The 24,854-nt window shown below is 43.4% G+C and overlaps 2 protein-coding genes across 14 annotated transcripts in view, besides 3 other annotated features; both read right to left on the bottom strand.

Annotated features, from left to right (window-relative positions):
* Window positions 1–5,488, bottom strand: part of ZNF880 (zinc finger protein 880) — a 30,809-nt gene extending 25,321 nt beyond the window's left edge. For 5 of the 6 annotated variants that reach the window (XR_001753688.3, XM_047438838.1, XM_047438837.1 and 2 more), the window contains exon 1: window positions 2,369–2,423. Coding sequence is in view for 4 of the 6 variants with exons in the window: in XM_047438838.1 (XP_047294794.1) it covers window positions 2,369–2,380 (12 nt within the window). In the remaining 2 variants the exon portion in view is untranslated. Of the gene's footprint in view, window positions 1–2,368; window positions 2,424–5,421 lie in introns of those variants that run through there. The other variant, XR_007066826.1, reaches the window with a different exon arrangement.
* Window positions 1,982–2,121: an enhancer, noted in NCBI's record as "active region_15048". NCBI's record gives its function as "activates an Ori minimal core promoter by ATAC-STARR-seq in GM12878 lymphoblastoid cells {active_cell/tissue: GM12878}" and the evidence as "EXISTENCE:reporter gene assay evidence [ECO:0000049][PMID:35858748]".
* Window positions 2,322–2,431: an enhancer, noted in NCBI's record as "active region_15047". NCBI's record gives its function as "activates an Ori minimal core promoter by ATAC-STARR-seq in GM12878 lymphoblastoid cells {active_cell/tissue: GM12878}" and the evidence as "EXISTENCE:reporter gene assay evidence [ECO:0000049][PMID:35858748]".
* Window positions 2,442–2,741: an enhancer, noted in NCBI's record as "active region_15046". NCBI's record gives its function as "activates an Ori minimal core promoter by ATAC-STARR-seq in GM12878 lymphoblastoid cells {active_cell/tissue: GM12878}" and the evidence as "EXISTENCE:reporter gene assay evidence [ECO:0000049][PMID:35858748]".
* ZNF610 (zinc finger protein 610) overlaps window positions 4,568–24,854 on the bottom strand; it is a 37,558-nt gene continuing 17,271 nt past the window's right edge. For 5 of the 8 annotated variants that reach the window (XM_047438286.1, XM_047438287.1, NM_001161425.2 and 2 more), the window contains exons 2-6: window positions 24,402–24,639; window positions 23,111–23,192; window positions 18,538–18,664; window positions 17,967–18,095; window positions 4,568–6,648 (exon numbers count right to left, since the gene is read on the bottom strand). In XM_047438286.1, the coding sequence (XP_047294242.1) occupies window positions 5,579–6,648; window positions 17,967–18,095; window positions 18,538–18,664; window positions 23,111–23,173 (1,389 nt within the window). In that variant the 5' untranslated portion in view covers window positions 23,174–23,192; window positions 24,402–24,639 and the 3' untranslated portion in view covers window positions 4,568–5,578. The remainder of the gene's footprint in view (window positions 6,649–17,966; window positions 18,096–18,537; window positions 18,665–23,110; window positions 23,193–24,401; window positions 24,640–24,854) is intronic. The other 3 variants (NM_001161426.2, XM_047438285.1, NM_001161427.2) reach the window with 2 other exon arrangements.

Below are 24,854 nucleotides of genomic sequence, written 5' to 3'. Positions count from 1 at the left end.
ACTGCACTCCAGCCTGGGCAACTGAGCGAGACTCTGTCTCCAAAAAAAAAAAAAATTAGTAGAGATTTCTAATTTTGTGGACAACATAAGAAATACAAAAAATTAACCCACAGTTATTTCTATAGAAGCGTCAGATACAATATATATAATTTTTTTTTAGATGGAGTCTCACTTTATTGCCCAGGCTGGAGTGCAGTGGCACAATCTTGGCTCACTGCAACATCCGCCTCCCAGGTTCAAGTGATTCTTCTGCCTCAGCCTCCCGAGTAGCTGGGACTACAGGCACCCACCACTGTGCCCAGCTAATTTTTCTATTTTTAGTAGAGACAGGTTTTCACTATGTTGGTCAGGCTGGTCTTGAACTCCTGACCTCAGCAATCCTCCCGCCTCGGCCTCCCAAAGTGCTGGGATTACAGGCGTAAGCTACCTCACCCAGCCAGGATGAAGCTTTTGAACACCTCCCATGTGACAGGCACTTTCTAAATGTTGTACATGTACTAACGGCTATAACAACAAAAGCCCATAAAAGAACAATCTGTTCCCATCCTATTGAAGAGACAACTCTTTCTCAGACATTCTAAGAAACTTGCCCCAGGTGTGAAGGCTAAAAATGGCAGAGTAAGCGCCAGATCCCAGGAGTCTGGGCATTAGAATCAAACTTTAAGAATTAGGCCAGGCGTGGTGGCTCATGCCTGCAATCCCAGCACTTTGGGAGGCCAAGGCAGGTGGATCATTTGAGGTCAGGAGTTGAAGACCAGCCTAGCAAACATGGTGAAACCCCATCTCTACCGAAAATAAAAAAATTAGCCAGGCGTACTGGTGGGCACCTGTAATCCCAGCTACTTGGGAGGCCGAGGCAGGACAATCACTTGAACCCGGGAGGCAGAGTTTGCAGTGACCTGAGATGGTGCCACTGCACTCCAGCCTGGGTGACAAAGCGAGACTCCAGCCTGGGTGACAAAGAGAGACTCCATCTCAGAAAAAGAAAAAAAAAAACATCAAACAATAACAGATCAGCATCAAAAGTAAATTGACAGACAATGACCTAACTGAGTATAGTTAAAATAAGTTCCGGGATTAAAATCAAGAAACTGTCGCACATGTATCCCCATAACAGGTTACTATCCTTACAGCCATAGACTCACTATCATAACAGTGTAGAACAATTTTAAGGTCATGAAAATATATAAGATGTAATTTCAACTGTTAAAAGATATAAGACGTATATAAACTGATGATGCGCCTTTGATAAAAACAATAGACTTGCTCATCTGTGCACTCATCCACACACATCACATGTACACACTTATTCATATACATATATACATTCACACACATATACTCTAGTAAACATATATGTGACAACTGAAAGAGTTGTCTGTCAATAACCTCTTTTTTAGATATTTGTCTTTGTTCGTTTTTTAATGTGTCCAGGTTGCAGTGCAGTGGCTTATTCATGGCACACTACAGCCTTGAATTCCTGGCCTCAAATGACACCCTCTCCGAGTAACTCGAATGACAAGCGTGCACCACTGTGCCTGGCTGTCGTTGTTTTTGCAAATGTGCATTTCAGCATGTTTGCAACAATAAAAATGTATAAACTGTGCTCAATTCAGTTTATAAACATTATTTCAAACTATTTCAAAAAGTCAGACCATGTAAAAACATAGAAACGAGAATTCCAATCTCTATTAAATACCCGTACTGAAACATATGTTTCAAAAATTGAGATGGGGGTCTCACTATGTTGTCCAGAGTGGTCTCAAACTCCTGTGCTCAAGGAATTCTCCAGCCTGGGCCTCCGGAGAAGATGGAATTCCAGCCCCGGCCCATAAATATTAGGTTGGTGCAAAAGTGATCGCGGTTTGCCATTACTTTTGCACTAACCTAATTTTGTCCACTAAATATTTATTTAGGTGTTAGCAAAAGCCCAATGGAGGCTGAAACATCACAATCAGCAGTAAACATCAGATCGATTTCCTCTCATTTAAGGCACAGAAAAGGGGGCAGGCCTGTGAAAAGAGGGCGAGGCTTGGGGGACCGGAAAGACGTGGATCCATCTCGCGGGTGAGAACTTTACGCAGCGCGGGCCGTGTCTAGGGGTCACTGAAGGATTTGAAGCAGGCAAACTCCGCGACAGGAGCTGTCTACATGGCCCTGTGGTGAAAGACCGGGGACAGGACCAGCCTCCGAGCGATTTTAACACTCAGGGAAGCGACCGCCAGACTCTCATTAGAACGTCTGAGTTTAGTCGGGGTGGAGGGAGCGATGCGGGGATTTCAAGGTCTGTGTGACCCCTGAGATGCCGGGTACAGAAGCGCGAGGGGACTCAGCATCCCAGATTTAATCTAAACAAAGGGAAACTCACACGCCGCAGCATGACCGTCACTCCACGTAATCTGCTTCCGGGTCTCCAGGAAACTGCGCGCGCAGCTGAGAGGCGAGGCGAGGCCAGGCCCGGGTGGGATTGGGCGGAGCCTGCGCTTCCCTCCGCCTCGCTCCCAGCTCGTCTCGTTTTGGAGGCTAGACCTGCCGTGGAGACTGGAAGAACTCAGCTATCTGGAAATAGATTGTGTCCCGGCAGAGGGAAAGTTTGTTGATGATTAGATCCAGGAAAATTCCTGCTATTAAAATTAATTTTAAATCGGCTGTAGGGGCGCTCGCATGTGGTCCTAGCTACCCGGATGCTGAGGTGGGAGGATCGCTTGAGCCCATGAGGTGGAGGCTGCAGTGAGCCGAGGTCGTGCGCTGCACTCCCGCCTGGGCATGAGAGAGAAACCTTGCGCCTAATAAATACATAATCATAAATAACAAATTGGAAATAAATAATTAAAATAAATAAATATAAATGAATAATAAACACTAGTTTCCGGAATTTTAAAGTCCTTGAATTGTTTATGAAGGGGATGCAAATTAAAATATGAAATGCAAAACCCTGCCAGGGCGGAATGTGCAATTTCCTTTTTTTTTTTTTTTTTTTTTTGGAGACAGAGTTTCGTTCTTTTGCCCAGGCTGGAGTGAAGTGGCGCGATCTCGGCTCACTGCAACCTCCGCCGCCTGGGTTCAAGCGATTCTCCTGCCTCAGTCTCCCGAGTAGCTGGGATTACAGGCGCCCACCACCACACCGGGCTACTTTTTTGTACTTTTAATAGAGACAGGGTTTCTCCATGTTGGCCAGGCTGGTCTTGAACTCCTGACCTCGTGATCCGCCTGCCTTGGCCTCCCAAAATGTTGGGATTACAGGCGTGAGCCACCGCACCCGGCCAAGTTTTTTTTTTTTTTTCATATTTATATTAATCCTAGTGTATACCTGCCATTGTCTTATGGACATACTCAGGTCACAACTTTTTTTTTTTTTTTTTTTTTTTTTTTGAGATGGTCTCCCTCTGTCTTTCAGGCTGAAGTGCAGACAGCTCACTGACTGCAGCCTCGACCTCCTGGCATCAAGTGATCCTCCCATCTCAGCCTCCCAAGTAGCTGGGACTACAGGCACACGCCACAATGCCCAGTCCCATGTCACAAAATTTTGTCTCCAAACAGCACTCATTTATTTGTCCCCTAAAGTTTTCACCAGAGCAAAACAGGGAAGAAATGTATTAAACATAGAATTTGGAGGCAATGTAGGAAAAAAATGTAAAAATATATATACATACAAAAAATATAAAAATATACATGCTAGGTGTGAATTGTAACTAAGTTTCCAGTATGGGTAGTGGGTATCCCCGCCCCAGCCCTACCCTTTAGCAATCATGACACCCCAAGCCAGTCACCTATCCCAGTTCTCTGAAGCCACTTTTGGACCAGCTGGAAAAGTATACCCTGCTTTCCCCCACAGAGCCTCATTATATAATAAACACTCTCAAACCATATCAGTGTATGGGATCATCATTCTCAAGATCCAAGCCAAACCTTAGGGGGACTTCAAACAAGTTCCAGAAGAGTGGTCAAAAATTCAAATTACCAAAAGAGTTGTGAGGGTGACTATATGAAGTTTCTAGTTAATGTACCAAAACAAAATTCCCTTTCTGTGTGTGACTTAAAAAGAAGATGGGTGAACATTAATATTTTCAAATGATGTCACTGAACACTAGAAGTACAAAAAGAAATTGTGTTACAGTATTATTATTATTTTTTTTTTTTTGAGACGGAGCCTTGCTCTGTCACCAGGCTGGAGTGCAGTGGGGTGATCTCAGCTCACTGCAACCTCTGCCTCTTGGGTTCAAGCGATTCTCCTGCCTCAGCCTCCCAAGTAGCTGGGATTACAGGTGCACACCACCAGGCCCAGCTAATTTTTTTTTTTTGTATTTTTAGTAGAGACAAGGTTTCACCATGTTGACCAGGATGGCCTCAATCTCCTGACCTCGTGATCCACCCAATGCAGCCTCCCAAAGTGCTGAGATTACAGGCGTGAGCCACCAGGCCCGGCCATGTTACAGTATTTTTGCCCTCAACCCATACTTTATTTCCTAATATTTGTCATATTACTATATATTTTTGCTGCATGAAAATGAAGGTGCACACCATAGTTCTTATTTGGCACACAAGAAAGAGGCATGTAGAAACACAATACAGGGCATACTCTTTAACACTCACACACATTTGAGGGTGTACAAGGCTGAAATTGTACTATTAAAGTGATTTTGACTTTACCCACATAAACATCCTACACCAGAGTACAGAGAAACTAACTCAAGTACTAAGTGTAATTACTCAACATCATACTTACTTAAGTATATTGCACCCAGAAGCGTATGTTGTTTTATGTCTCACACACATACACACACACACACTTTTCTGGCTGCTTCAACCTTAAAATCATAATGGGTTATTATTCTCTACTATAAAGTATCCTCCTGAGGTAAGATTAAACAACGCTGGTAGAAAGGATGTAATTCATTCACACTAAGAAAAATTTAAACTAGGCCGGGCGCTGTGGCTCACACCTATAATCCCAGCACTTTGGGAGGCCAAGGCCAGTGGATCACTTGAGGTCAGGAGTTTGAAACCGGCCTGGCCAACGGAGGGAAACCCCGTCTCGACTAAAAATACAAAAATTAGCCGGGCAGTAGTGGCACATGCCTGTAATCCCAGCTACTCAGGAGGCTGAGGCAGGAGAATTGCTTGAATCCGGGAGACGGAGGTTGCAGTGAGCCAAGATCATGCCACTGCACTCCAGCCTGGGTAATACAGCGAGACTTCGTCTCAAAAAAAAAAGAAAAAACTAAAAAAAAACTTTAAACTTTATTACTTAAAACATGAGAAGTATGTACATTCTAAATCAAAGAGTTACAAATTACGGTGCCAGCAGTTAAATGTGAATCCTACTCAAGAATATGCTATACTGGTAGTTTTCATTAAATGCTCTATTCTGATATAACTGTTCTCTCTTTATAGATTATTTATATATGTTATTAACTTTACATTTGTAGGGTTTCCTTTCAGTGTGGATCAAGAGATGAGTGATGAGGCTTCAATGCAAACTAAATTCTTTGCCACATTTATGATATTTGTAAGGTTTTTCTCCTGAGTCCTCCAATGTTGTGCTAGGTGTGAATTCTAACTAAAGATTTTGCCACATTCATTCCATCTGTAAGGTACGCAGTGAATTCTCTCCAGCATGAATTTTCCGATGTCGTGAAAGGTGTGGATTTTGATTGAAGACCTTGCCACATGCATTACACTTGTAAGGTCTCTCTCCAGTATGAATTCTCTGATGGTTGGTTAGGTATAATTTGCGCCCAAAGACTTTGTCACATTCATTACATTTGTAAGGTTTCTCTCCAGTATGGATTAGAAGATGGGCCATAAGGCCCGGACGCTTGTGAAATGCTCTTCCACATTCGTTACATTTGTAGGGCTTCTCTGTACTATGAATTATTTGATGCCGTGCAAGGTATGAAAGCAGACTAAAGACCTTGCCACATTCATTACATTTGTAAGGTTTTTCCGCCGTGTGACTTCTCTGATGATTGGTTAGAGAAAATTTGTGCCTGAAGTTCTTGCCACACTCATTACATTTGTAAGGTTTCTCTCCAGTATGGATTACAAGATGGGTAGTAAGTCCCGAACACTCTCTAAAAGCTTTGCCACATTCGTTACATTTGTGAGGCTTCTCTCCAGTATGAATTCTTTGATGTCGTGCAAGGTTTGAATTGCGATTAAACACCTTGTCACATTCACTACATTTGTAAGGCTTCTGTCCAGTATGAATTCTCCAATGTTCTACAAGGTGTGAATTGCGACTGAAGACCTTGCCACATTCAGTACATTTGTAAGGTTTCTCTGCAGTATGGATTACTTGATGGTTAGTAAGGCTTGCACGGACTCTAAAAACTTCACCATCTTCACTACATTCATATTCATAAGATTTTCCTCTAATGTATGCTTTCTCTTCTTGTGGGAGTAATGGGAAATCAATAAGATCATTTCTATATTTATTAAAAATGTGTGTTGTGAAACTAGAAGAAATTTTTTGAAGTGGTGAAACTGAGGAACGATGGTTTGTAAACTTTTCAACTTGATTACTTCTGTAAATTTTCCTTCCGGCTTGAAACAGCTGCAATTCAGACAGATGTGCCTCAAGGGTTAATCCAAGTTGATTTTTAATAGGCTTGTTTTCTGCATTGCTTCCCAATACACAGCTCCTCCCTAGAAAAGAAGAAAGAGTAGAACATGAACCCATGATTCTGGCATGTTTACCGTCTGGTGGAGGGACCAGAATCAGCCTCACCCAACTCAGACACTGGAAGAAGTATCGGCATACTTTGCATGTCACATTGTGAGAGCTGAAAACACAAGGGGGTGACGTGATGCATTGGAGCAGTGGGGAATCTGCAGGACTCGGGAGGATTATGAGTGACTTTGAGAAAGATTAAGGGCAGAAAAATAGAACAGAAACTGAAAGCTTCTCAGAAAAAGCAGGGATGAGCCTCTTAGAGAAAATAAGACATTTAAGAGCAGTTGTATAGACATTAGTAATAGTATAATATACGCATAAAGCTAGGAGAGACACAATCCCAGGAGTGAGGTGTTCCCACACCCTTTACAACAGGCTAATTGGGAAAGGTCTCCCTGTCACACCTGTCACAATTCTTTTTTTTTTTTTTTTGAGACGGAGTCTCTCTCTGTTGCCCCAGGCTGGAGTGCAGTGGCACCACCTCAGCTCACTGCAACCTCCGCAAGCAATTCCCCTGCATCAGCCTCCCAAGTAGCTGGAACTACAGGCGCACGCCACCACGTTCGTCTAATTTTTTTGTATTTTTAGTAGAGACGGGGTTTCACCACGTTGGCCAGACTGGTCTCAAACTCCCAACCTCAGGCAATCTGCCTGCCTTGGTCTCCCAAAGTGTTGAGATTACAGGCGTGAGCCACCGTGCCCAGCCTATCATTAAACATCTTAAAGCAAACTTGCAGGCTAGAAGGCAGTAAGATGATGATATGTTGAAAGTGCTTAAAGAAAAAAAAATACGGCTGGGTGCAGTGGCTCATACCTGTAATCCTACCACTTTGGGAGGCTGAGGTGGATTGATGACCTGAGGTCAGAAGTTCAAGACCAGCCTGGCCAACATGGTGAAACCTCATCTCTGCTAAAAACACAAAAATTAGCTGGCTGTGCTGGCACATGCCTGTAATCCCAGCTACTTGGAAGGCTGAGGCAGGAGAATCACTTGAACCTCACATGGGGGAAGGCGGGGCATGGAGGTTGCAGTGAGCCAAGATCGCGCCACAGCACTCTAGCCTGGGCGACAGAGCGAGACTCCTTCTCAAACAAACAAACAAAAAACCAAGAATACTATATTCAGCAAAACTTGCTTGCAAAAATAAAGGAGAAATTTACACGTTCCTGAATAAAGAAGAGCTGAGGAAGGTAATTAGTACCTTGGAACTGTCTGACAAGAAATGTTAAAGGGAATCCTTCAAAAGGAAATAAAAGGACCCCAGACAGTACTTCTAACCCAAATGAAAATATAAAGTTCTCCATTAAAGGTCAATAAATGATCAAATATGGAAACATAGTATCCTGAGAGTGACACTGTATGAGAAAAAAATTAAAAAAGAAAACAAAAAAATCATGCATTATTGTACTTTTCATTTGTAATTTGGCTTTTCTTTCCTAGCATTTCAAAGGCAAAATTATTTAAAAAGCACTAAAATGTGTTAATGGGAATATTACATATATAGAAGGAACTTCTAGCACAATAACAAATAGCACAGCTATAATGTAATGCTTTCGGTACCTAATCAAGGTTAAGCTGTTGACATTTTAAAATAATGTTTTATTGTTACAATGTTTTATGTAACTTCAATCTTAACCACAAGAGGAAAATCTACAAACATACACCAGAGGAGATGAGAAGGGGATCAAAGCATGTCACAATTAAAAAACCAACAAAATACAAAAGCAGGCAGTAAGGGAAAAATGAAGGACAAAAAAATCTACAAGATGTTACAAAATCTACAGCTAATATGTGACAAGATGGCACTATTAAGGCCTTCTCTATGAGTATGTGAAATACAAATGATTTCCCATTGGAATCAGAACAAAACAGGATCCAACTAAATCCTATCCACGACAGACTCCCTTTAACTCTAAAGACATAAATTGGCTGAAACTGAAAGGATGGAAAAGGATATTCCATGCAAATAGTAACCAGCAGAGCACAGAGGTGTCTATATTAAAATCAAAGAGAACAGACGTTTACTCAATAACCAGTATAAGAAAGAAAAGTTATTATACAATGATGAAGGGTTCAATTCACCAAGAAGATATAACAACTATAAATATATAGGCACCAAATATCACAGCCCCTAAGTATAGGATGGAAACATTCACAAAATTCAAAGGAGAAACAGATAGCTCCACGATATAGTAGTAGACTTCAATACTTCATTTTCAAAAATGGATAGAACAAGGTGACCAGGCAGGGTGGCTCACACCTGTAATCCCAGCACTTTGGGAGGCTGAGGCAGGAGGATCACTTGAGGCCAGGAGTTTGATACCAGCCTGGCCAACATGGCGAAACCCCCATCTCTACTAAAACTACAAAAATTAGCTGGATGCAGTGGTGCATTCTAGTAATCCTAGCTACTCAGGTGGCTGAGGCATAAGAATCGCTTGAACCTGGGAGGTGGAGGTTGCAGTGAGCTGAGATCACACCATTGCCCTCCAGCCTGGGTAGGCAACAGGGTGAGACTATGTCTCAAAAAAAAAAAAAAAAGGGGATAGAACCAAAGAGAAGGGGGTTCTGTCTCTCGGCTTTGGAGCCCCCCTCACTCTGTCTCTGTACAGGGGAGCTTCTTCTTTCTTTCTTCCCCCTTCTTTCTTGCCTATTAAACTCCCTGCTCCTTAAAACTAAAAAATAAAAATAAATAAATAAAAATCAAAGAGAAGAAGAAGAAAACAGGACTCAAACATCACTATAGCCTCATTAGATATGACAGACGTATACACAACACATCACCTAAAAACAGCAGAATACAAATTTTTCGGAAGTGCCCATGGAACAGTTTCCAGGATGGACTTCATGTTATGACACAAAACAATCTTTTAAACATTTAGAAGTCTACAAAGTATTGATTCCCATTATAATGTAATAAAACAAAATTAACAGAAAGAAATGTAAAACCCACAGATATGTCCAAATGAAACAACACATCTAAAAAACCAATAGGTCAAAAAAGAAACCACAAACTGATTTTTAAAATATCTTGATAGAAAAGGAAAGGAAAACAGAACACACCAGAACTTATAAAATGCAACAAAAATGTGTGCTTACATTAAAAATAAACAAATGGCCAGGCATGATGCCTCACATCTATAATCCCGGCACTTGGGAGTTTGAGGCATGAGGAGTACTTCAAGCCAGGAGTTGCAGACCAGCACAGGCAACAATACAAGACACCATCTCTACAAAATTTATGTATTTATTTATTTTTGAGATGGAGTCTCGCTCTGTCACCAGGCTGGAGTGCAGTGGTGCGATCTCGGCTCACTGCAACCTCCGCCTCCCAGGTTCAACTGATTCTCCTGCCTCAGCCGCCCCAGTGGCTGGGACTACAGGCGTGTGCCACCATGCCCAGCTAACTTTCGTATTTTTAGTAGAGACGGGGTTTTACCATGTTGGTCAGACTGGTCTTGAACTCCTGACCTCAGGTGATCCACCCGCCTCGGCCTCCCGAAGTGCTGGGATTACAGGCGTAATCCCATAGTGTGATTCCCACAGGCGTGAGCCATAGTGCTGGCTTATTTATTTTTTAGTTAGCAAGGCACAGTGCCATGCACCTGTAGTCCTAGCTACTCAGGAGGCTGAGATAAGAGAATCACCTTAGCCTCGGAGTTTGTGGTTGAATTGAGCTATGATTGCACTACTGCACTCCAATGTGGGAGACAGAGTGAGACCTCATCACTAAAATAAATAAATAAAGTTACATGTAAACAATCTAACTTTATACTTCAATGAAGTATAAAAAAAACCAAACTAAATAGAAAGGTAGCAGAAAGAAAAAATTAAGATTAGAAAACAGAAGAGAGAAGCACTAAAGTCATGAAACTGCAAGCTCATACTTCGAATGGTAAGAAAATTGACAGTTGGGCATAGTGTTTCACGCCTGTAATCCTAGCACTTTGGGAGGGCAAGGCGGGAGGATCACTTGAGCTCAGGAGTTCGAGATCAGCCTGAGCAACATAATGAGACCTCTGTCTCTTTTGAAAAAAAAAATTTTTAAATTAAAATAAATTTTAAAAAGATTGACAAACCCTTAGCTAGATAAACAACAAAACAAAAATGAAGCGTAAGCCTCAAATAAGTAAACTTAGAAATGGAATAGAGGACATTACAAATAAAACTGAATTGTAGAAAATGAGATTGTGGCCGGGCGCAGTGGCTCACGCCTGTAATCCCAGCAATTTGGGAGGCCGAGGCGGGTGGATCTCCTGAGGTCAGGAGTTCAAGACCAGCTTGGCCATGGTGAAACCCCATCTCTACTAAAAATACAAAAAATTAGCCAGGCCTGGTGGTGCACGCCTGTAATCCCAGCTACTCAGGAGGCTGAGGCAGGAGAATCACTGGAACCTGGGAGGCGGAGGTTGCAGTGAGCCGAGATCGCGCCAGTGCACTCCAGCCTGGGCAACAAGAGCGAGACTCTGTCTCGGAAAAAAAAAAAAAAGAAAATGAGATTGTACAACTGTGTCCCAACAATGGATGAATTTCTAGATACACACTGCTCACCAAGACTTACTCATGAAGAAGTAGAAACACTAAGACGAGTAACAAATAAGGAGATTGAATTAGTTATCAAATAACTACTAACAAAAACAAGTAATGAACCAGATGACTTCACTGTAAAACGCTATCAAATACTGAAAAAGGATTTAACACCAACACTCTTAAAAATGTTCCATGTGATGGACAAAACACTCCCTCTCTCATTCAATAAGGCTAGTGTCACCTTGACAGAAAAGGCACACAAAGGCTCTAAGAAAACTACAGAGCAATATTCCTCATCAATCTAATGCAAATATCCACAACAAAATGCTAGCAAGCAAGTTCAGCAGTATATTAAAATGGACCACACACTATGATCATGTGAAAGTCACTCCTGGAATGCAACGATGTTGCAACTTAGGAACATTGATCCCTGCAATACTCCACAAAAACAGAATAAAAACAAAAACCCACTTGATAGGCTCATCAGATGCAGAAAAAACATTTGAAAAACATCAACAACTACTGATGATAGAAACACTCTACACATTAGGAATACGAGGAATCTACTTTACATACAGAAGCCTTATATAAAAAGCCAAAAGGTAACATCATACTCAGTGTTGAAATAATGAAGGCTTTTCCTTCATAATTAGGAAAAAATAAAAAGAAAGCCCATGTTGCATTATTTCTATTGAGAATATAGCTGTCCCTTGGTGTCCAGGGAAGACTGGTTCCAGGAACCCCTGTGTGGTGTTATGGTATTACATATATATTTGTTTTCATCTGCAGTTCCTGGCTCATAACTCCCATAGCCTTTGCTACAGTCTTCTGTTATAGTGTTGGGTACGGTAGGCCCCAGGGCAGAACTCAGGAAACAGAACCTCTCCAACCTTTTCCTGCCCTCCATTCACCTGCCTCAAGGCAGAACTCTAATCTCCCATCTTTCTGATTATAGGTCTTAAGACCTCCCGAGAGAGGGTCCTGCTTTATGTCTGGGGGAAAGAATGCTGACATAATAAGGTTTCTATAAAAATCTAAGAGGACTGCATTTAGAGAGCTTCCAGATGGCTGAACACATGGAGCTTCCTGGATGCTGGTCGCAGGGAGGGCAGAGAAGCTCCACACCCCTTCCCCCATACCTTGCCCTACAGGTCTCTTCATCTGTATCCTTTTCAATAGCCTTTATAATAAACTGGCAAATGTAAGTAAGTGTTTCTGTGAGTTCTGTGAGACAATCCAGAAACTTTATCGAGCCCAAAGAGGGGCCACAGAAACCACAAATGGAAGCTAGTTGGTCAGAAGTTCTAGAGGCCCAGACTCGTAACTGGTGGGAAATGGGGGAAGCCTTTGACACTGAGCCCTCAACCCGTGGGATCTGACACTATCTCCAGGTATAGTGTCAGAACTGAACTGTAGGAAACCCAGCTCTTGTCCGTTGCTTGATGTGTGGGAAAAAACTCCTATACCGTCGGTCACGGAAGTCTTATTCTGTCTTGACAGATTGTTGTGGTGGCGTGAGAGCAGAGGAAAAACATGGTTTGAGAGTTTTTCTTAAAACACTCTCAGATATCAAAATCTGTGGATGCCTGAGTTCCTTACTGCAGGCCTTCCATACCTGTGGTTTCTATATCTGCAGATTCAACTAACCATGGATTGAAAATACAGTCTGCCCTACGTATCCATGGGATCCATATGTGCAGATTCAATGACCTGTGGATTTCTGATCTGCAATTTTGTGGAATCTGTAGATGCAAAACCTCCAAATATGGAGGGAATAAGCTTAACAAGGACGGGAAAAATTTGTACACAGAAATCTACAAAAAATTGCTGAAACAAAGTAGAGAAGACACACACAAATGCAAAAACAGCCCATGTTTATGGATTGTAAGTCTTAAGGTTAAGATGTCAATAGCCAAAGAGATCTACAGATTCAGTGAACTCTTTAGCAAAATCCCAAGGAAGTTTTCTTCATAAATAAACTCATCCTAAAATTAATATGAAATCACACATGTGCCTCAATAGCAAAACAAACTTGAAAGAAAGAAAGCTGGAGGTGTTACACTGCATGATTACAAAACTTATTACTAAGCTACCTTCATCAAAATAGAACTGTACTGCCATGAAGGCAGACATATAAGCCAATGGACTAGAACAGACAGGCCAGAAACAAACCCTCAAATATTTGGTCAAATGATGTTCAATAAGGCTGCCAAGACCATGTAACGAGAGAGGACAGTCTCTTTATCAAATAGTGCTGAGGAAACTGGATATCCACAAGAAAGGAATGAAGTTGAACTCTTATTACACCGTATGCAAAAATTATCTGAAAGCCAATTCATGACCTAAAACTAAGACCTAAAACCATAAAACTCCTAGAAAAAATCAGGTGGAAAGCTTCATAACGTTGGATTCAATAATGCTTCCCTGGATAGAACACTGATAACACAAGAAAGAAGGTAAAAATACATAAAATGTACTACCACAAGACCTACAACTACTGTGGATGGAAGAAAACAATTACCAGAGTGAAAAGGAAACCTACCATATGTGAGAAAATATTTTCAAATCATACCTCTGATAAGATTTTATATATCTAAAATACATAAAACTCCTACAAATCAGAAAACCAGTAACCTGATTAACAAATAGAAAAAGGAGGCCAGGCGCAGTGGCTTACGCCTATAATCCCAGCACTTTTGGAGGCTGAGGTGGGTGGATCACGAGGTCAGGAGATCGAGACCATCCTGGTGAACATGGTAAAACCTCATCTCTACTAAAAACACAAAAATTAGCTGGGCATGGTGGCGCATGCCTGTAGTTGTAGCTACTCAGGAGGCTGAGGCAGGAGAATCGCTTGAACCCGGGAGGCAGAGGTTGCAGTGAGCCAAGATCGCGCCACCGCACTCCAGCCCGGCGACAGAGTGGGACTCCGTCTCAAAAAAAGAAAGCAAAAGAAGCATTCTTTGTTCCTAAAAAAATATGGAAATTTCTTTATATGCTACAAAATGGATGAACCTGAAAGACACTCTGGTAAGTGAAATAAGCCAGTCATACAAAGACAAAAAGACAAATAATGAAGTTATATCATGTAACTTCATTATATAATAAAGCTTCTATAAAAACCCAAAAGGACTGGGTTCAGAGAGCTTCTGGACAGCTGAACACCCCGAGGCTGACAGGAAGGTGAGCAGGAACTCACACACATGCCAGGAGGGTGGCACAAGCCAACTCCAGGACACAGAAGCTCCTGTGCTGGGGACCCTTCCAGACCTGACCCTATGTTCTTTCCATCTGTTAATTTATCCTTCTCTATCTATTTGGAATAAGGTCTTGCTCTGTGTCAGCCAGGCTGCAGTGCAGTGGCGCGATCATAGCTCACTGCAGCCTTAAACTCCTGGGCTCGAGCAGTCCTCTTGAGTAGCTGGGACTACAAGGTGTGTACTACCATGCCTGGCTAATTTTTTAAATTTTTTTTTTTTTTTTTTTTTTTTTTTGAGATGGAGGCTCGCTCTATCTCCCAGGCTGGAGTGCAGTGGCACCATCTCCGCTCACTGCAAGCTCCGCCTCCCGGGTTCAGGCCATTCTCCGGGCTCAGCCTCCCAAGTAGCTGGGACTACAGGCGTCTGCAACCACACCCGGCTAATTTTTTGTATTTTTAGTAAAGACGGGGTTTCACCATGTTAGCCAGGATGATCTCGATCTCCTGACCTCGTGATCCGCCCGCCTGGGCCTCCCAAAGTGCTGGGATTACAGGCGTGAGCCACTGCGCCCGGCCAATTTTTTAATTTTTTGTAGAGATAACGTCTCATTATGTTGCTGGTCTCAAACTCCTGGGATCAAGTAATGCGCCCACCTCAGCCTCCAAAAATTCTTGGGTTACAGATATGAGGTACCATGCCGGGCCTGGAGCCTTTAAAATACGCTGTGGAATAAACCCTGTAAATGTTAAGTATGTATTACCATGAGATCTGTGAACCACTCTAGCAAATTAATCAAACCCAAAGAGGGAGCCATGGGAACCCCAACTTTTGAAGCCAGTTGGTCGAAAGTTCCAGAGGCCTGGACTTATGACCCGTGTCTGAAAGGGGGCAGTATTGGAGACTGAGCCCTCAACCTGTGGCATGTGACACGCTCTCCAGGTACACAGCATCAGAATAGAATTCAAGGGCCCCCAGCAAGTAGCCACTGCAGAACTGATTGCTTATTGGTGGAAGTAAAACTCACATTTGGTGACATAAGTTGTCTGTGTTTATTGTTGCGTGGTGCAAGACCAGACAGAGGAAGATACGGTTTGAGTTTTGCCCCTCAGTCTTAAATAACAAATTACGGCAAGTCAGTGTAATGGTATTTCTGAGATTAAGATGGCAACAATTTTAAAACAGCATATTCTTAAGATATAAAAAATTTCCATATTATACACTGTAATACATTTAATTGGCAAAAGTGTTGTTCAATAGTAGCTACTAAGTCACGTACAACAAAGGAAAACAAATATTTAAACTCCTATTCAAAAATTTCTGGAGTGTCAGTTTTAGAGACTCTCCTGCTGAGGCATACCCTGTGCATTTAAAAAAACCACACTCAAAAATATATAAATCAATGGCCATTCCCTGATACTACAGCCCTACAGATACAAAATAATAAACACAAAGAGTATTATATGAAATATGGAACTGCTGACTAAATATACAAAAACCAAGTTAATTTATAATACATGGAAAGGTACAAGATGAAAGTAACAGTGGTTTGAACAAATGATGGTAGTGTTAAAACCAGAAGCATCTGGTTGCTATTTTGTGCCATGTTCCCCATGGGGACCTAGGGATCGAATACAGGGTCTTTCTGTTGACTATCTGCCCCACTCAGCTGAGTAAGCATCTCAGAAGAGCCACCTACTCCCCTGTGACACACACCAGTAAAGTGTGGATGAAGCACAACTGAAGAATGGCTGAGGGGCCTTGTGGAATAAGAATACATACATACATTGGTCTCTTCCCCGGTTCCTGACACAGAGCTCTGAAGACCTTGAGATGTCCTGGGTGGTACGAGTGTGATCTGCTCTAATGAGGCAACCTTTGTGGGTTCCTTGGATGGGGCTGATTACCAGAAAGACCAGGCCATACTTAGAAGCATGAAACTGTCAGCCCCACCCACTAGCTTCTAGGAGAGGGGCTGGAGATTGAGTTAATATCAATCACGCCTACGTGATGAAGCCGCTCGTGAACTATGGGGTCACAAGAGGTTCCAAATGCTGAAGACACACAGGCGCCTGGAGGGCGGCACACCCAGTCAATCTTCCCACGTGCCTCGCCCTGTGAATCTCCTCATCTGGCTGTCCATCTGTATCCTTAGAAACATCCTGCATCATGAACCAGTGAACCTAATGAAGTGTCTCACTGAGTTCTGTGAGCCACCCGAGCAAAGTAATCAACCCAAGAAGGGAGTCGAGGGAACCCAGCTTACAGCTGTGTTGGTCAGACAGAAAGGTGACAATCTACTACTAACAAGTGGTGGCTGAGGTGGGCGACAGGCTTGGGAACCCAACCCTTAGCCTGTGGGATCTGATTCTAACTCCAGGTAGACAGTGTTAGAAATGAATTATAGAAAACCCAGTAAAGATCCAGTGAAAAATTGCCGATGGGGAGAAATCCCCACACATTTTGGTGACCAGAAGTGAAATGCTCTGTGCTGAGTGGCATGTGAGAATAGGAAAATCACTGGCTTCTTCCCATCCAAATAGACCTGAACAGGCAGAGGGGGCTGGAGGCACCTGTAGTTTCCAGGGCCCAGATGCAAAAAAGAGTAGCTCATGTTCTCTCATTTCCTGATTACATCTTCCCATTACAGGAAATGGGGTGGACCATGAATAGGTCAAGGGGGCAGGTCTATGAAGACCTCAGCTTTGACCTACAGGGACAGAAACTAAGCATCAGATGGAATCAAGTACAGGAAGAAAGACCACAGGGGAAAGAGACCCCTGGCAACAATGCTCCCTGTGTTCTTCAGAATCATGGAACAAAAGTTCACAGAAGCCACATGACAGGGTGCTGTCCATCAGGATAAAGACTTTGCTTTTGTCTCTGGGTGGCAACACCACTCGAGGGTGAAAAGATGAAACTATCACACATTTATAGAACTGAGTGACAAGAGAGAGCAAAGAAATATTTCCATTCAGAATGCCTAGGATTTAAACTTTTCTTTTCTCACAGAACTCTCCCACCTTTGGAGAGTTTCCCACACACTCTTGAATAGTTAGTATGGGCTGGGTGTGGTGGCTCACGTCTGTAATCCCAGGACTTTGGGAGGCTGAGGCAGGCAGATCACTTGAGGTCAGGAGTTTGAGACCCACCTGTCCAACATGGTGAAATTCCGTCTCTACTAAAAACACAAAAATTAGCTGGGTGTGGTGACACATGCCTGTAATCTCAGCTACTGGGGAGGCTGAGGCACGAGAATCACTTGAACCTGGGAGGCAGAAGTTGCAGTGAGCCGAGATCACACCACTGCACTCCAGCCTGGGCAACGGAGTGAGACAAAAAAAAAAAAAAAAAAAAAAAATAGTATGGCTTTGCAAGGTGCAGTGGCTATAATCTACAACTTTGGGAGGCCAAGGCAGGAGGATTGCTTGAGTCCAGGAGTTTGAGGCTGCAGTGAGCTATGATTGCCACTGCACTACAGCCTGGGTGATAGCGGAACACCCTGGCTCAAAAATAAAAAAATAAAAACTATGGCCTCCACACTGCCCATCAGAGCTCTTACCTGTGTTCACGCTTCTGACACATTCCCTTCCATCTGTATTTTTTACTATTTTAACTTGACTTTGCAGAATCAAGGGCTCTCTCCTTTGCTTCAACATGGAAATAATACTTAGGTCAGGAAGACAGATTCCTGTTAATAAAAAGAAAGAAACAAGATGTGCTGGGGCATTTCCAAAACCCAAACCCTGTGTTTAGGTAAGAGAGGGGATATCGCAAATGGATCAAGAATAATATCTCACAAGTTCACCCACAGACTGGCTCCTTCTGAATGCTTAGGGAATATGCAATATGTAGACACTGAGATCTCTTCCAAGAACTACTGACTTGTAAGCACAGGGGAGAAAACAGAGAACTGGTTATCCGGTGCCACCCAATGATGTATTATGAAGGGGGCGGTACATCTGAAGAAAGGACGCATTTCAAATCCAGAGAGCATAATAGAGCTTTTCATTTCTGAGTCAACAAGGTTTCTACCTCAGTTAAGCAATTTAGGGGCTCCCAAGAGGCACGCAAGAGAAAATGCAAAGACAGATTAGAGCAGATCCCGGCTTCTGGAGGGAAGTCATCCTCACCCAGAAAGACCAGGTTCCTGTAGTTCTCCAACATCACGTCCCTGTATAAAGCCCTCTGTCCAGGGTCCAGGGATTTCCACTCCTCCTGAGAGAATTCGATGGCCACGTCCATGAATGTCAAGCGTCCCTAAAATGAGGACCACATTGTTTACAACACTAAAAATGTAGAAATTGTACTCAATTTAGTTGATAAACATTTTTGAATATTAAGCTATTAAAAATGGCAGATCATTAAAAAACATAGAAACTTCAATTCCAATCTCTAGTAAATGTTCACATTCAAAAATATGTAGTATTTTTAAAAATTCAGATGGGGTTTTACTAGGTTGCCCAGAAAGATCTCAAACTCCTGGGTTCATGGGAAGAGTTTAATCCTGCCCCAGCCTCCCAAGAAGATGGGATTATAGGCATGCACCACTAACCCTGGCCTATAAATACACTTTTGTCCATTAAAATTTACATATGTAGGTATTAGCAAAAGCCCAATGGAGTTTATTGATTTATTTCATTAATAAAACAGTGATACATGATACAAAATTTAAGAATATTATACACTAATTTAACAAATAGGCTGGGCGCAGTGGCTCACGTCTGTAACTCCAGCACTTCGGGAGGCCGAGGTGGATGGATCACCTGAGGTCAGGAGTTTGAGACGAGCCTGGCCAACATGGTGAAACCCTGTCTCTACTAAAAATACAAAAAATTAGCCAGGCATGGTGGCGGGCGCCTGTAATCCCAGCTACTTGGGAGGCTGAGGCAGGAGAATTGCTTGAACCTGGGAGGCAGAGGTTGCAGTGAGCCGAGATCGCACCACTGCACTCCAGCCTGGGCGACAAGAGCAAGACTCCGTCTCAAAAAATAAACAAACAAATAAAGGTCAAAGAAAATATCTCAGCAGGACATACCTTAAGAAATTACTAGATAATTAATACTCAGGCCAAGAATGAAATTGGAAAACAAACAAACAAAAAAAACATGATATTAAACAAGAACATCTCATAAAACATCATAATCAACAGTAAACGTGGGATGCATTTCCTCTAATTTAAGGCCAGAAACAGGGCACTGGTCTGTGCTGCAGCCAATTACCACTGCACAGGATGCCTGAGCAGGGACCAGAAGCAGAGGAAAAAAAACAGGAAAAAAAAAGTGGGGGTAGGAGGCAGGAAAAAGCAGGATCTGTTAGAACTAACGAATGACAGGATTGTAACCATAACAAAGAATGCCATTTAGGCGTATTAACTAATACGAATATATTGAAAGCAAGTTTTGGCCCGGTGCGGTGACTCACACATGTAATCACAGCACTTTGGGAGGCCAAGATGGGCGGATCACCTGAGGTGGGGAGTTCGAGACCAGCCTGATCAACACAGAGAAATCCCGTCTCTACTAAAAATACAAAATTAGCCAGGCGTGGTGGCACATGCCTGTAATCCCAGCTACTCAGGAGGCTGAGGCAGCAGAATTGCTTGAACCTGCGAGACAGAGGTTGCAGTGAGCCGAGATCACGCCATTGCACTCCAGCCTGGGCAACAAGAGTGAAACACTCCATCTCAAAAAAAATAAAAAAAGAAAACAAGTTTCCTTCTTCAGCAGCACTAATTATAAATGACACACACACACAAGAAACATCCTACCTCTCCCTCAGCAAATATACACATGGCCCCTAACTAAAAGACACTCCAGACCTGTGTAAGAAATTCGCAACTCTACTAAAAGAGTAATGTCAGCAAGACACAGGAATGCGAAGCCACAGACCTTTCTGTCCCCCTGGAGACAAAAATTAAACAGTACACAGACCAATTGGCTTTGTGAGAAATCCAGAAGGTCCTTAGCAAGTTCCTGCACCCCAAAGAAGCACCAAGTCAACCTGCTGGGAGCCCAGTGGGAAAATGCATGAACACGTTAGCCTGAGCCCCTGCTCAGGCACGACGCGCCATCATCCAGAGGAAACCACAAACTCCAGATTTCTCCTGAGGGACAACGTTCTGTCTTGGTTGAACAGAAGCACTGAAGTAACAGGGCCCCAGATCAGGAAGCCACTGAGAACAAAGGCATCAGCATAAATCAGAGCCCGCAGTTACACGGGCAGATACTAGGTGGCGGTGCGGACCCCAGCTTCCTATGGCCTCACACAGGCTGCAGAGCAGGTGCAGAAAGGGAAGCTCCTGAGCAGAACCTGGCCACCCTCTTCAGTGAGGAGGTGACAAGCAAAGTCCAGAGAGGATGCATCCTAGACAAAGCTCAGGACCTCCAGAGACTCCTCCTGGGCTGAATGGCACACATGGTCCCTGAACCACGCCAGGCACAAAAAAAAAGAGAGGTGACTGATTTCTTTCTTTTTTTTTTTTCTTTGAGACAGTCTCGCTGTGTCGCCCAGGCTGGAGTGCAATGGCGCAATCTTGGCTCACTGCAAACTCCATCTCCCGGGTTCAAGTGATTCTCCCGCCTAAGCCTCCCAAGTAGCTGGGATTACAGGTGTGCACCACCACACCAGGCTAATTTTGTATTTTTAGTAGAGACAGAGTTTCACCATGTTGGTCAGGCTGGTCTCGAACTCCTGAGCCCAGGTGATCTGCCTGCCTCAGCCTCCCAAAGTGCTGGGATTACAGGCGTGAGCCACTGCACCTTGCCAAGGTGACTAATTTCTAATTCAGAGAACGTTCACATGAGGATGTAAAGGAGCAAGGAATCCATCTTCCTAACATGAAAACATGCAAATTTTCACAACTTTTGGTATAAAATATTACAACGAAACAATCACTGAGGATTTTATTTAAAATACCATAATGCTGTATAAATATATTTCTTTTGGAGTTTTGCTCTTGTTTCCAAGGCTGAAGTGCAATGGTGCGATCTTGGCTCACTGCAGCCTCCACCTCCCGGGTTCAAGCGATTCTCCTGCCTCAGTCTCCCAAGGAGCTGGGATTACAGGCATGTGCCACCATGCCCGACTCATTTTCTGTTTTTAGTAGAGATGGAGTTTCTCCATGTTGGTCAGACTGGTCTCAAACTCCCAACCTCAGGTGATCCACCCACCTTGGCCTCCCAAAGCGCTGGTATTACAGGCATGAGCCACAGCGTCCAGCCTTATAATGCTGTATAGGTTTTTTTTGTTTTGTTTTGTTTTTGAGACACAGTCTTGCTCTGTCGCCCAGGCTGGAGTGCAGTGGCGTGACCTTGGCTCACTGCAACCTCCGCCTCCCAGGTTCAAGCAATTCTCCTGTCTCAGCCTCTGTGGTAGCTGGGATTACAGGTGCCCACCACCAAGCCTTGCTGATTTTTGTATTTTCAGTAGAGACAGGGTTTCACTATGTTGGCCAGGATGGTCTCAAACTCCTGACCTCAGGTGATCTGTCCGCCTCGGCCTCCCAAAGTGCTGGGATTACAGGCGTGAGCCACCACGCCCGGCCAATGCTGTATAAATATATTTCTACAGGACATGCTCTCACTCTTGACACAGAGCTGACAGCAGTGGGTCACCAGTGAGACGCAGGGAGGGTGGGAAACTGCACAGGGCAGGGCAGGGGAGGCTTCGTATTTGATGGCCTAAGCTGCATGTGTGGTGTCTTCCTATAAAACAAATATATACATAATTTGATGTTTAACATAAAAAAATAACTAATTGCTGGAACAAGAATGAATATAATTTCCACCTCTTTAATGACAAAAAATTTATGCTCCAATCTCTGTGCAAAATTACAGCTTTTTTCACCTAACACAGATGCTGTACAAGACTCCCTGCAGGAACACCAGTCTCCATGGGAGGGGCATGCTGAGAAAGAAGAGAGAATGTCCTCTCTGAACCAAGCCAGACATTAGAAAGTAGGAAAGGTGTTTAGCTTCAAATGTAGTAAAAATCAGACAGAAAAGATTTCTCCTTCCTGAACTCCTTTTCCAGAATGTACCAGGTACTTGTGTGCATTAATATGTGACTTCAGGCCAGGCGCGGTGGCTCACGCCTATAATCCCAGCACTTTGGGAGGCCGAGGCAGGTGGATCACGAGGTCAGGGGTTCGAGACCAGCCTGACCAACATGGTGAAGCCCCGTCTCTACTAAAAATACAAAAAATTAGCTGGGCGTGGTGGCAGGCACCTGTAATCTCAGCTACTCAGGAGGCTGAGGCAGAATTGCTTGAACCCGGGAGGCGGAGGTTGCAGCGAGTCGAGATCGTGCCACTGCACTCCAGCCTGGGTGACACAGCAAGACTCTGTCTCAAAAAAAAAAAAAAAAATACGTGACTTCCATTGGCAGCCTCTCTAATCCTGGTCCACAGAGAGCTGACAGTGCATCCAGATGTGGCCCCTGAACAATCCCTGCTGCCCAACACCACTGACACCACGGGACCCTCACCCCGTCTCCATCCATGTCTGGGTGTGAGCCCTTCCCAGGACCACGCCCAGTGCAGTCTCTTCCCACATTCATGTCACTGGGTCACGAGAGATAGAATCTAAGCGAGATGAAAGGGACTGAGGGAAGGCATGGGTGAGTGTGAGCAAACGTGTCAGGCAGGATGCTTCAGGCATTTCAGAAAGAAACAGAGAGAACCAACCACCGAGAATATCACTTTACCTGAGGAAGAGCCATCCCTGACTCCTTTGCTTTCCTCTTCTGGGCTTCTTCATCACATAGCATGACTGTTTATAAGTCAATCCTAAATGTCAAAAATACACTGATTACTGCTCGGAATCAACACATTCCCCTCCCTATGCCACAACCACACACACAGGTTAGACCTAATCCTGCGGAAAGATGTCCTCTGTTGCCCACTGCACCAGAGTTGATGCAGGGACAAGAAATTCCTACAGGAAGAATGAGTGAAATTTTTACTCTTTTATTCAGGACTCGCTCCCCTCCTGGAGAAGCCCGCACACACGCTACAGCAGTAGGGAGCTAGGCTGGACTGAGCTGCCCCATTCAGGGAAGAGACACAGCTGTGACCAAACTCCATGAAGAGCACAGCCCCTCCTCCCCTCTCTATGGATCCCAGGCTCATGTAAGCCCTCAGAAATGGAGGACACAGAGCGTTGGTGCTCAGCGCCAGAGACAGAACACACTGGAATCCCCGTATCCATGAGGATATGTTCCAAGATGCCCAGTGGATGCCTGGAACCTCAAACAGTACTGACCTCTATTTACTCCACTTAAATTATGCATGTGACAGCTTCTTACTGGCACATCCAAATTGCCAGCATCAATATTCACGTGCTTGGGGAATACTGTTAAGTAAAATAAGGGTTAAACAAAAGGACTGAGGTACCCCAAAAGTGGAGCAGATCAAAAAGAAGACTATTCACTGACTAATGAGCAGATAGAGTCTACACTCGGCCCTCAGTCTCAGTATTTCTAGGATCCAAATCCAGGGATTCAACCAACGACAGACTGAAATAATTACAAAAAAAAGGAAAGAAACCAAAAAGTAACAAACAATGAAAATAATACAAGAAAACAACAGAGTATAACAACTACATAGCATTTATAAATTTCATTAATCCATTAAAAATAATCCATTATAAGTAATCAAGAGATGATTTAAAGTCTACGGGAGGACATGTGTAATTTATATGCAAATACAGTCATGCACTGCTTAGTAATGGGACCGGTTCTGAGAAATGTGTTTTCAGACCATTTCATTACAGACTGCACTTACATAAACCAAGATGGTATAGTCTACTACACACCTAGGGTATATGGTATAGCCTATTGCTAAAAACCTGTACATCATGTTATGTACTGAATACTACAGGCAACTGTGACACAATGGTATGTACTTGTAAATAAAAACATGTCTCGACATAGAAAAGGTACAATAATAATATGATATACATGTTTAAAAAATGGTACAGCTGTCTAGGGCACTCACCATGAATGGCGCTTGCAGGACTAGAAATTGCTCTGGATGAGTCAGTGAGTGTGTGGTGACCGAATGTGATGGCCTACGACATAACTGTGTACTACTGTAGATTTTATAAATACCGAATACTTGGCCAGGCGTAGTGGCTCATGCCTGTAATCCCAGCACGTTTGGAGAACGAGGCAGGCAGACTGCTTGACTCCAGAATTTCGAGACCAGTTTGGACAACATGGCAACACTCCTGTGTCTACAAAAAAAAATACAAGAAATAAGTCAAGGCATGGTGGAACACATCTGTAGTCCCAGCTACCCAGGAGGCTGTGGTGGGACGATCACCTGAACTTAAGAGGTTGAGGCTGCAGTGAGCCATAATCGCACCACTGCATTCCGGCCTGGGCGACAGTGTGAGAGGCTGTCTCAAAAATAAATACATACTTACTGTGTATTTAGGCTACACTAACA

Source organism: Homo sapiens, chromosome 19 (assembly GCF_000001405.40).
Source record: "Homo sapiens chromosome 19, GRCh38.p14 Primary Assembly".
Taxonomy (NCBI): Eukaryota; Metazoa; Chordata; class Mammalia; order Primates; family Hominidae; genus Homo; species Homo sapiens.
The sequence above is the reverse complement of the archived record's forward strand: the minus strand, read 5'-3'. Positions and strand labels throughout refer to the sequence as shown.